General features: G+C 35.5%; 2 long non-coding RNA genes across 3 annotated transcripts in view; one reads left to right on the top strand and one right to left on the bottom strand.

The window, feature by feature from the left end:
* LOC105374511 (uncharacterized) overlaps positions 1 to 12,850 on the bottom strand; it is a 482,145-nt gene extending 469,295 nt beyond the window's left edge. For both annotated transcript variants that reach the window (NR_188379.1, NR_188378.1), the window contains exon 1: positions 12,616 to 12,850. This is a non-coding gene — a long non-coding RNA (uncharacterized LOC105374511). The remainder of the gene's footprint in view (positions 1 to 12,615) is intronic.
* Positions 11,278 to 13,140, top strand: part of LINC02438 (long intergenic non-protein coding RNA 2438) — a 238,399-nt gene continuing 236,536 nt past the window's right edge. Inside the window, exon 1 of the long non-coding RNA XR_001741605.2 lies at positions 11,278 to 11,622. This is a non-coding gene — a long non-coding RNA (long intergenic non-protein coding RNA 2438). The remainder of the gene's footprint in view (positions 11,623 to 13,140) is intronic.

Below are 13,140 nucleotides of genomic sequence, written 5' to 3'. Positions count from 1 at the left end.
AGCACGTTTCTGCAGGAGCACAGAAATAAAAGGAAATGAGACATTCTACTATCTGCACAATCTGAAGTTTAATTAAAACAACTTTTCATTGCCCTATTAGAATCATGATGAGAAGGGAGGAATGAAGCACATTTCTTTATCTGCTGTCTTTATAGTGTCTAAGCTGCATGATATAACTTTTATTAACAACTTTGAGAAAACTTGAATGCAATCATATTCATTGGCTTCTGTGTTGAAAAACATGCTACTTAATGGAATTTACACAGCACTATGTGTATTTTAATGACAGATAGTGTTTTAGGAGGAAAACGTTGTATGGAGTTTTATAATAGACATTGATGTACTCTGTAATAAAGTAGAATAATCATTTTTCAACCTATTAAAGACCACAAGTCACTAAGTAATACCTGTATATTCAGTATACATTTCTTCATAATGAGTTTACAAAACAATAAGCTCATTTTGTCCAATTATTGGTTCTCCACACTCCCAAAATATATTTTTGTGTGTAATATAAATACACATACAACTATATATGCATATTAAATATATATATATATATATACACACACACACACAAATATTTGTGATGCATGGGGCATGTGAATACATAATTTATGTGTGTGTGTACTCTGTAAATTTGAAATGTTTAATTTAATATTTTTGCCCTCTCATTCTCTTATTCTCTCTTTGTGGTCAGAGGGGTACGAGGTACAGAGTAACTATAGAAAGTTCTCTGTAAATACCTCCACCACAGCACAGATAATATTGCTATAAACATGATTCTGTGGAACAAAATTACACAAGTGTAGCAAGAAATGTTCATAGATTTGGGAGAATTATGCTCTAGTGTTCTAAAATAAGATTTAAAAAATAAATTTAAAAGATTCTCTTGGCTCCCTTTCACATTTTTTAATTGATTTTTAGTAGCTCTATTGAGGTATAATACATATAAAATAACCTGCACATATTTGAAATGTACAATTTGATGTTTGGACATATATCTGTACAAGTTAAAAACTTTACTATGATCAAGAAATGAAAAAATAAATTACCCATTAGGTTTTCTCAGGCCCCTGTGTAACTTCTCCCTCCCTCACTCCCTGCCTCCAAACTAGCCCATCTCCAGACAACAACTGATATGCTTTTTTTAACTACAGATTACTTTGCATTTTCTCAAATTTTATATAAATAGAATATTTTGTCCATATCATGTACCTTTTTTTCTCCTCTGACTTCTTTCATTTAGTATAATTATTTTATCTTGTGGTGTCTTTTAGTGGGTTGTTCCTTTTTATTACTGAGTAGTATACCTTTCCATGGATGTAGCAATGATGAATGCAAGTTCTAGAATGGTCTTCTTTTCCTTATTCTTTATATAAGTGGGAAGCACTAAATATTTTACTATTTACTAGGTTGTAAGAATCCTAGTGAGTTATGATTACTAATTAACTACTTAATTAGTAAATTAACAAGGAAGTAGAATTTTTGTATAGGCTCTTTTTCAAGCTGAAATAAGCCCATTCTGTTCCTAGTTTGCTACAAAGTTTTATTAGGAACGGGTGTTAGATTTGTAAAATGCCTATGGAGTCTATGGAGATAATTCTATGTTTTCTTACTTTCTTAGTATTTATATGGTTTGGATCTGCCCCCATTATTCAATCATATCCCACCCAAATCTCATGTCGAATTGTAATGCCCAATGGTGGAGGTAGGGCCTGGTGGCAGGCAATTAGATTATGGGGGCAGATTTTTCCCCTCAATGCTGCCCTTGTGATAGTGAGTGAATGCTCACAAGATCTGGTTGTTTAAACGTGTGGTACCTCCCCGCTCTCTCTCTTCTTCCTGCTCTGGCCATATAAGATGTGCCTACTTCCCCTTCACCAGAAGCCATCATGCTTCCTGTACAGCCTGTGGAACCATGAGCCAGTTCAACCTCTTTTCTTCATAAATTATCCAGTCTCAGGTATTTCTTTGTAGCAAAACAAAAACAGGCTAATACAAGTATGTTCATAGCAGGAATTACATTGATTGAATTGTGAATGCTAAATTAACCTTGTATTCCTGATATAAACTCCATTTGTCCTTCATGTTATTTTATGTATTGTTAGATTCAATTTTCTGATATTGTATTAAGAACTTTTCCACGTATGTTCGTAAGAGATGTTTTATGTCTACAGCGTTCTTTCTTTTTAACACTTTTGTCTGGTTTTGGTATCAAAGAAATGCTGGCATCATAGAATGAGTTGAAAAATATTGCCACCTCTTCAATTTTTTAGAAGAATTTTATACAATTAGTACAATCTCTTCTTTAAAGGTTTGGCAGAAAATACTGGTGAAGCAATTTGAGCCTGGAGTTTTCTTTGTGGGGTAGTTTATCATCACTCTCCTAAGAATCCTGCACCTGTAGAAATGTATCCTATAAATGATTATTTTATACTGAATCCGCTTTGAATGATTCCCTCCTTCCTGCATGTTTGGGTTATATGCTCTTTGTGCGCACAATTGTGATACTCTGCATTTACCTCTATTGTTGTAAAGCAGATTTTTTTTTACACTAAAACGTGATCTCCTTAAAACAACTTATCTATATTTTCCCCAGGAAATAAACAATGTTTCACATATAAGGTGGCTCCCCTATAAAACTGAGAAACATACCAGGAAAAAATGCAACTGTGACATTATTATTTTTACTGGTGGTAGCTACGATGAAGTAGAAATACCACTGAACTTAGAAGTTTTGGTTCAGTACTAGCTGTGAAAACAAATTAAGACCACCCAAATGTGTAAAAACAGAGGCTAAATAGTTTTCCATAATATTCATAAATATTCAGAGCTTTCTATAGCAAAGGAGTAAGCCGCAATCACTTGTGTTTGGCAGAGATTCAAAGGCAAGCATGGAAATGGGAAAATGTTATAGTGAAAACAAAGGGAAGGCTTCAGGTGTGCCCTAATTGGATGTTTTGACATGGGAAAACTGTATTTGTGTTATCTAGAATTGTGGTTGGTTTGGGGAGCATAGTCAGTTTTCTCTAGTTGGTGCTGAGGTGGAAACGGACATAATGGAAAAGCTGTAAGTTGTTGTCCAAGTCCTGACATTCTGGGCCAATTGCTTTAGAGGTTGCGGTTTCTGGGCTGGTTGCTGCAGAGATTTTGGGACAGAGGTTCTACTGTTATATATGGTCTGACCATTGTTCATGGGTATGTTCTCTCTTTCATAGCTCAGCTGCTTAGCATGTGTGTGGCCCTTATGAGCACTGAACTATGTTACAGAGCTAATGAGGAACTTGAAGCTCAGGGAGAACAAGGCACAAACTTAAAGTTACATGTTTAATAAAGAGTTAAGTGTAAGAAGCAAGAGTGTTGGGTTTTGATCTAGAGCAATAGTTCTCAAAGTGCAGTTTTGGCTCCAGCAGCATGAGGTAACTTGGGAAGTTGTTAGAAATGCAAATTTTGGGCTCTAACCGAGGCCTATTGAATCTAATACTCTGGGGGTGGGGTTCAGCAATCTGTGTCTAAATAAGCCTTCCAGGTGATTGTGCTGCTTACACTTATATGACGAGTATGAGAACTGCTGATCTAGAGCTAGGTTCATTACACTGTGAAACTTTCCAGCTAGGGAAAAAGAATTCCCTAACCCTGAATATGCTCCTCTAGATGTCAACGGTATGATGGTTAGAGTGATTTGCTTAACAAGGATTAGAAATAATCACTATGTTTTAAGTGTGAGATGCTCAAGTTCTTGCAAGGGATTTGAATAAATTGAGCTTTATTAGGACTGATGAAATAAGGATACTTATATCCCTAAAGAACAGTTTAAGTTTGAACATGAAATAAATCAAAGGAAATTCTAGGCTTGGAATCTACAGATGCCATTAATTAGTAGATGAGGTGCTTGGTATTTAGATTGAGTTAGAATCTTAATTTGGGGGAAGTGACATTTGATACAGAATCCTGGCCTTGCAGAAACAGAGAAACCTTGCATGTCCCAACCACTCATTAAAAAAAAAAAAAAAAAAAAAGGAAAACAACACAATAAGAGGGCATCAAGTCTTTCATTCTTAATCATAGAACCCCACTTCCCCATGTCACAGACTTCAGTTTCACAAAGACAGTGTATTAGATGCTTTACATAAAATTAGAGGTGATTTAATCAGAAAATGGAAGCTGTTAGTACAAGAGACAGAAAAAATTTTTTAAATTGAAACATACATATCAAAATATAAGACTAAAATATATTAAAATGTTCTAATAATATAGCATTAGAATAGAAAAAATATTCTAAGGTAGGTCCACTTAATAAGTATTGAGACTTTTGCTGAAATCAATCATATCTCATAACCAGGAAAATAGTAGTAAAGCAGTAGGACTGTGATATGGCTTTGTCTCATGTGCTTTACATATGATTGATATGTAAACACACACACATATACATGTACATATAAATGTATATATACATATATATGTATTTATATGTGATATATATATATTTATTATTATCTTTGGGTGTGTATTCTCCTGCTTTTCTCAATCAAATTATTTCCCCACAAGGTGTTAGCAATATTTCTGATAGTGGAAGCCTGTATGCCTTATTTTAAATGGTGAAAAACGTGTTTTCAACCCATCTAAAAGCACAAAAAATTATCCAGGATATTAAATACTTTACCGCCTTATTTAGCAATCCACAAAATATTTCTGCTTAATATTATATGTTTGAATCATCACTTATTTAATCTATACTTTAAAATCCCTTTAATGAATGTGTTTGCATAGTGTGTAATGATTACGTACAATATATAAAACAAATTGCAATTTTTTTTGTATTCACTTCTCAGAATGCACAGACTTTGTGAATTACAGGAGTTTTTCTAAGGATTTGACCTTTCTACATTCTTGGATTCACTTACACTAACAGTTTTATATTTTATATAACACTGTAGGGAAGATGATATTGTCACCTTTGTCAACAACTTGACCTCAATACACAACCCAAGACACTATTCTAATCAGGGAATAGCTGAGAAACTAGTGCAAAACCATCTATATCCTCCCATCCAACTCATGCCCAACTCATTCAGTTTTACTGGCCCACACAAGCATACTCCTTAGAGTAGGGTTTGGATTTTAGAATCAGATGTTTAATTTTGTGTAAAATATTTCTTCAAGTCTTTATATTCCAAACTTTAAATTCAAAGAACATGTATCCTTTCAGTTGGAGAGGGAGAGAAAAAAAGAACACATACATATATGTTGTAGACACACATGGATATTTGTGTATATATCCCATGTATGTATGTGTGCACATGTATGTCCATTTATATGTACATTTAAGGATATACGTATATATACACAGATGTTCATGGTTTCTATTTGTAGATTACATAATGAGATAAATAGTAAATAAATATGTGATTGTACATTATCTTTACAAGGTACCACCTTTAATATGCTAGACAAAGTAAGGAGTCAGTGAAAATAATTCCCTTAAAAAGATTACAGTTTAATTAGGAGAGAGAGCATATAAACAGACAAGATATCTGACATAAATATTTAATTATCAAATAAAGAGATAAATACATTATACCAACACACTGGAAATAATATAAATCTTAACAACTAATAAAGTACAGCAATAAATGTATTAACATTGTATTATGGTGTTATAGCAACACCAGGAAGGGATCCTTTGCACAATAATTGAAGATGTTAGTGAAAGTTGCATGATGAAGGCAATGCATGAACAAAAAGGAATGAGGCATATGGAGAAGATAAAGAAATCTCCAACAGAAAGAGAAGTATACAGAAAAGATAGAGACAAGAGAAAGATGAACCACAGAAAATGTAGGTAATTGGTAAATCAGGATTTCTAAAGCATAGACTACGAGGCAGGGAGTGTCAAATGATGCATTGCTTAGGTAGAAAAAGATCTGTTTATAGTGAATCTTATATCTATTTTGACACAATGAGTCATATCTATTTGATCATGCTCTGTTGGTGGCAATAAATCTTTGGAGAGAAGAGGACCAGTTGAAAAGACAGTGTAGTGATTCCTGTGAAGAGTTTCAAGATTCAGAACTAAGGAAATGGAAGTAGGGGCATTGTGTAAGGAGAAAAGTTCAAAAAACATTTAGGAGGAAAGTCACTAGGACTTGACACGTATGTATATGTGTACATGAGGGGAAGGGTTAATGGCTGACAAAAGGCCCCCAGATTTCTAGGAGAATATCGATAATGTAAGAGAAGAAACTAGTTTGAGAGGGGAAGGATGAGTTGATTTCAAAACTATATCTAGTTTCAAATAAGAAATAGATGAGCCCTTCAAGGCAATGTCTTGTGTCCAAAAGTCCAGTTTGGAAATTTAATTATTTAGTAATGAGGGACAAAAATCCTGAGGGGAAACCCTAGTTGTTTCACTCTCTTGGCAGGCTAACTATGGGCAAGTGGTTTAGTTTCTCTCAGCCTTACTAAGATTTTCCCCCATAAAATGAAGTACAATTTGTTGTCCTCTTGTAAAGATAAAATGAGATCATTTCTATAAAAGTGTTATTTAAACTCTATGTTTTCCAAGAGTAAAGCCATGTTATCACCAGATTAAACAAGGCTCTGGCAGCTACATCCCACATTAATATTTGTTGGTCTCGCTAATTTATCAGTGGATGTATATGTAACCTTTAGGATAGGCTAAACTAAGGCAAAAAATGGCTTCAACATCAGATATGTTCCCTTAAACAGAAAAGGCAGATAACCACAAAGTAAAATATCTTTTAAGACCATGGAACTTAATTAGTAAGTCTACTTTGGGAATAGTAGAATATCCTGGTAGACCAATGTGTCTTCTACTGCATGAAAACCTAGGCCTACTATAAAAAAATACTGGAAGAAAACTGGGACTAATATATAAAAATTAAGATTCTGAAACAAAGGAAAGGCAGGAGTACTTATAGCAGATATTCAGAGACAGCAGATGAGTATGGCAGATACTCATAAAAATATTTCCATATGGCAGATACTGACACTATGACTAAGATGTTCCTGGAAAACCTATTTGCTATTATTAAAAAAAGACTTTTGATTGTAAGCTATCCTTTCATTGTTCTCTGACAATGCCCAAAAAGAAAACATCTTAACATTCATGAAAGTAAAGCCCATAAAGCACAAGAAGTTTCAGCATGTCCTTTGGGGAATGAGCAAGAAGCTCATTTCTCTTCTCTTCTCTTTCTCTATCAAGTCACTGATGGAAGAGAAACCTCCATTCCAGGCCATGAATTATGGTAGGAAGAGTGAGAGGACCAGTGGCAACTGTGAATAGAGTAGGGAGCAAGAGCCACATTCTGAAGCTATTCAACAGCAAAAGAGAAAATCGCTAGGCAGTCTAGGTGAAGAGTAACAGTGAAGAGTAGCTGCCAGAGCCTTGTTTAATCTGATGATAACATAGCTTTACTCTTGGAAAAAATAGAGTTTCAAGTGAAGAGAATAAGGTGTAGGAAAAGGCAATAAAGAGGGTTGGGTGTTCCAGTGATATTGTGAGAGATAGGCTGAGGGTAAAATTACAATCCACATGCTCAATTGCACTCCTTTCATTCTCAATAAAGTAGTTCTATTACATATATATTTACAATTGTTCCCAAATTGACACATTCCAAATGAGTAGAAATACCTTCCATTTGTTTTGAAAGCACATGACACAAAAATGACCACATGAGAATTCAGATCTTCTAGTTCTAATGAATGAAGAAAATTCAGAAATATCTCCTGATGAGGCAATTGAACTCTGTTATTACAAACATGAGTGGCTTATGCCTGTAATCCTAGCATTTTGAGGGTCCAAAGTGGGAGGATTGCTTGAGCCCAGGAGTTCAAAATCAACCTGGGCAACACAGTGAGACCTCATCTCTACAAAAAATTTTAAAACATAAGCCAGGCATGGTGGTGCATACATATGTACATTTAAGGACATATAGTATATATACACAGGTTTTCATGGTTTCTATTTGTAGATTACATAATGAGGTAGATAAATAGTAAAAAAAATATGATTGTACATTATCTCTACAAGGAACCACCTTTAATGTGCTAGACAAATGCGCTAGTCCCAGCTACGTGGGAGGTGGAGGCAGGAAGATCCTTTGAGTCTGAGAGTTTGAGGCTCAACTGCAGTGAAATGTGATTGCACCACTGTACTTGAGCCTAGGCAACAGAGCCAGACCTCATCTCAGAAATAAATAAATAAATAAATAAATAAATAAATAGTGAGTGTATTATTCATTTGGTTTCCAACTCTCTTAGGAATTAACATGCTATGGAAGAACAAACATTTGTTCTCTATATAATATCTGCAATATGGGCACAAGTAATGATGTAGGGGTAAAAATATGATTATTTTTTCTCACTACATATTTATCCTACCCGTCCTCTTTACCAGACTTCAAGCCAAATGTCAAATGGGAATGCTACTTGCTAGCAATGGGATCTTTGCATTCAAATGTGTCTAGTTTATCTTGGTTTCCAGACTTGTCCAGTATAGGAAAAGAGATCTTTATTCCCAGATAAAGAGAAATGCCAGTGCAAAGAAAGAGAAAAAACAAGTGGAAAGGAAATGATAATAAATGATACAATGGAAGAACACTATTTTGAATTGAACTTGCAAATTAATATTCAAAAGTGTGAATCATGTTCTATGTAGAAGGAAAATAAAATGAATATGTAATAGTTTTGATAAATTCAAATGCTTTAATAAAATTACTTTTTAATAAAATAAACTTACGGTCCAATAAAGACATATAGTTCCTTCATATTATTAAAGAAAAAAAATCTTAAATTAAGGATCAGAATGATACTTAATGGTAAATCACTAGGATATTAATTAAATACAATAAAAGAATAGAAAGAATACTACAATCACCACTGTAACTGAAGTGAGTTGGCATTGCTATTGCAAAGGCAACAATAGCATCATTGATCAGAATGGAGGAGTTCAAATCATAATTTTCTGCAGTGGATAAAATTTTTGACTAAGAGTAATATCTGTAAAACAATGGCAGAATTCAGAAAATTTTCAATAATATATTTTATTGTTTTAAATTGATAATTTTCTAACATTATGTTGAAAATATCTGATATATAATGAAAATGGGCAAAAATTAAAAACCAAGAAATGTTTTTAATTTTGAGAAATATGAGAAATACAACACTTTAATCAATATAAATATTAGAAAAGTAAATGGAGAGATAATGTTCTTGCACAGGAAGACAATATACTAAAAGTGGCATTTTTTCAAAATAATGTATATATTTAACAAAATTAAAAAACATTTTGTTTTACATTGTTTTTAAATTAAGTTCATATGGACTTACGTATATGGAAAAAAAAATTTTAACTTAAAAAGAGAGAAAAAGGAGAGATCGGCCTGTTACAGAAACAGGGTATAAAGTGACAAAAATTTAAATTATGTTGTAGTAGCAGAGAAATAGGCACTTAATGGGGTATATAAGAAAACACTAATGTGTAAAAACTAAATTATATAATAAAGGTGGTAGTCAAATTAATAAAAGTTAAAAATGTTATTTTATAAATGATATATGGAAATGTGACTGTTTATTTAAAAAATATTAGGTGCCTAAATCATACCATATTTAAAAATTAATTCTGGATTCATTATATTTTTATTTTTTGAAATTTAATAATGTACCAAAACTATGAAAGATTATTTATACAACTTTGATCTTTAGAATCATATCAAATAACTTTGTTTTTAAATTCTGTATAAAATACATTAATATTAGAAAAATTATAAAGCAAGCATATTTATTTGAAACTAAAACATGTGGATATATAAAAAATACTTGCATATATATACATGTATATATGTATAATACATGTACGTATACATGTTATATATATGCATGTATATATGTATTTATACAAAAAAACATGTATCAAGCATATCTATACACCACTGAATTCACCAGTTGCCAGAAGTATGATCATTCACCTTAAGATTAGCAAAGATCAAATTTCACATTGCATGCCTGTATCAAAATATCTCAGGTAACCCATAAATATATACACCTACTATGTACCCACAAATTTTTTTAAGTTTTTTAAAAATTAATAATTTTAAAGGAATATAATGAAAGATGTAAAGGAAAGAGACCCCTAAAGAAAATAAAAATTGGTATTTTTTCTGGATGGCCATTAATGCTAACTAGCAAGAGATTTAAAAGAGATAAGATTTGAAATCTTGATGTGACTTTAAAAAAAAGGAAAATAATTTGACAAATGCATAGTGAAATTACAATAGTAAAAAAAAAATAGAAATAACCAAAAGGGCTGGTATAGTAGATTGGTGCAATGATTGATGGATTATGGGCCAGGTGCAGTGGCTCATGTCTAATCCAGCACTTTGGGAAGCCTAGGCAGGAGGACTGCCTGAGCCCAGGTGTCTGAGACCAGCCTGGGCAACGTAATGAGATTCTGTCTCTACAATAAATAAATAAATGAGAATTATGGATTACGGTTTACCAACACAAATAAATACTCTTGAATCTTGTATAAAATTAATGACCTAGAGGAATATATAAAACTAACAGTAAACAAACCCATTTGGTTCTGTGGCAAATGTATACACAGCCTTAGAAAGACTCCTCTTCTGTAAAGCGTGCAGTAAATAGGTAGGTACTGGTAAGATAATTTAAGAAGTCATGATAGTTTAAAGAGGGAATATAGCAAACAATAATACATATTTTTGAAACATTTTGTTTACATTTTAAAAATTGTATGAATGTTCATTTTGTCAATATTTTTATTGCCAAGGTTTTGTCACTGAATATCATCCCTCCTCAACTGGAGTATCTGTTTTCTTTCTCCCCTAAACAATGTAAAGGTCAGAATGCTAGGAGACAAGTGATTCTGATTAAGAAAGTTGAGCAAAGTTTTAAAAGGCTGCAGATTATATTACCATTCCCGGTGAGCAGCAGTCCCCTTTCCTGTAAGGGAATTACACATCCACCATCCTCTCACCGATACACACCCTCCAACCACAACCCAGAGTTCTGTCCCTCAAGAGGCCTTCTTTTGGGAGAAGCACGTTTGGCAGCTTGCACTACACCCTGACACACTCATGACATGGGACAGGAGATGTCAGAGCTGAATGAAAGCTTTTTTTTTTTTTTTTTTTTTTCCAGACGGAGTCTCGCTCTGTGTCCCAGGCTGGAGTGCAGTGGCGCGATCTCGGCTCACTGCAAGCTCCGCCTCCCGGGTTCACGCCATTCTCCTGCCTCAGCCTCCCGAGTACGCGGGACCACAGGCGCCTGCCATCATGCCCGGCTAATTTTTTTTTGTTTGTTTTTGTTTTTTTGTATTGTTAGTAGAGACGGGGTTTCACCATGTTAGCCAGGATGGTCTTGATGTCCTGACCTCGTGACCCGCCCGCCTCGGCCTCCCAAAGTGCGAATGAAAGCTTTAAGAGGGCTGCTTGTTTCTGGCAGCTCTCAGGTTCTTCCTGTCTGCCTCAGAAGTGGCATATTCCACATACGGGCTGCATCTTCAGTCTGGACTCATCCTCTTCAAGATGAGACAGGTGGAGCAGAGCTGCCACCAACCTCCGGTGATTTCCACACAATGTAAGTGAAAAACTATTGTTAAAAGACACTAAAATGTGGGGGTAGTTTTTATCTCGGCATAACACAGTGGAAGCTAATTAATGCAGGTCTAATTACCAAGGTGTGGGCAGAAGAGAGGGAAACCAAACTGAGGAGCGTACTGCCCATAGGCCAGACAGTAGTGGACGCCAGGGCTCAGAAACGGAGCTGTGGGGACTGGGCTGCCAGAGCAGTGTTTGAGGGGTGCAGCCAGTTGTCCTCCCGTCACCTCCCCAGCAGCTTCACAAGTAGGAGTCTCAGTAACGAATGAAGAGTTTTGCTTTCACTGACTGGTTGTTTTACATTATGTAATGGGCTCTGTGAATTATTGCAGAGTTCGTACTGCCTTTTTTATCTTTGAATAAACCTGTTTCAAGATGGTGTCAGAAGGACAGCCGAACACTCAAGTGGGAGGGAGGGGTAAACTAAAACTTTATTACTTTAAGCAAATAGCAATAGAAAATTAGCCTTATAACAAGAGAAAACAAAATGTAACCAAAGCTCAGTAAAATGTAACCGGAAGCTCATAATACCACAGGAAGCCCTATCACGGGAGTCTGAAGGGAGATGCCCGGGAGCCTGCAGTCGTTAAGCAAGGCCAGGCGCGGTGGCTCACGCCTATAATCTCAGCACTTTGGGAGGCCCCGGGGGGCGGATCACCTTAGGGTCGGGAGTTCGAGACCAGACTGGTCAACATAGTTCACTCTACTAAAAATACAAAAATTAGCCGGGTGTGGTGGCGCATGCCTGTAATCCCAGCTACTTGGGAAGCTGAGACAGGAGAATTGCTGGAACCTGGAGGCGGAGACTGCAGTGAGCCGAGATTGCACCACTGCCCTCCAGCCTGGGTGACAGAGTGAGACTCCATCTCGAAAAAAAAAAGAAAAAAAAAGTGAGCAAATATCACAGCAAAAGCAGGTCTTAAGTAGGTATAAAAGAACTAACAATAGAAGACAACATGTAACCAAAGCTCACCAGACCGCAGGAAGAATCATCACCGGAGTCGGAAGGCAGACGGCCGGGGTCCTGCAGCTGGAGCTGGGGCAGCCCCCAGCACACGACCACAGCAGCCTTCAGCTCCTCCTTCGTGTAAGCTCCTTTTATTAAGTCCAGTTGTTACTTTGAGCACCGTCTGTTGTTTGCTCAGGAGGGCCATTCCGAGCAAGCAACATTGAAACAATCGCTCCAGGAGCGGTGTTCCGGGAGCAGCGTTCCGAAACGTACTCCAGGACTTGAACAATCGTTCCGGGGGAGTGTCCCAGGACATGTTCCAGGACTTGAGTTAATTTCTGGACTTTCAGCCAAATCTTACACAAGCCGTTTACCTTTTCACCTCAGGTGGCTCTGCCTCTTACAGATGGGGGCATATTTTAAAATGGCGTTAGTGTGACCAATTTTTCTCTTCCTACAAAACCTTAGAGAAAAATCTGAAACTAGCTTACCCTCAAAATATATAAAGAAAATTTAGGGTTTGTATTTTTATATTAGCATCATTCCTGT

Source organism: Homo sapiens, chromosome 4, assembly GCF_000001405.40.
Source record: "Homo sapiens chromosome 4, GRCh38.p14 Primary Assembly".
Taxonomy (NCBI): Eukaryota; Metazoa; Chordata; class Mammalia; order Primates; family Hominidae; genus Homo; species Homo sapiens.
This window is presented reverse-complemented; position numbering and strand designations above follow the sequence as displayed.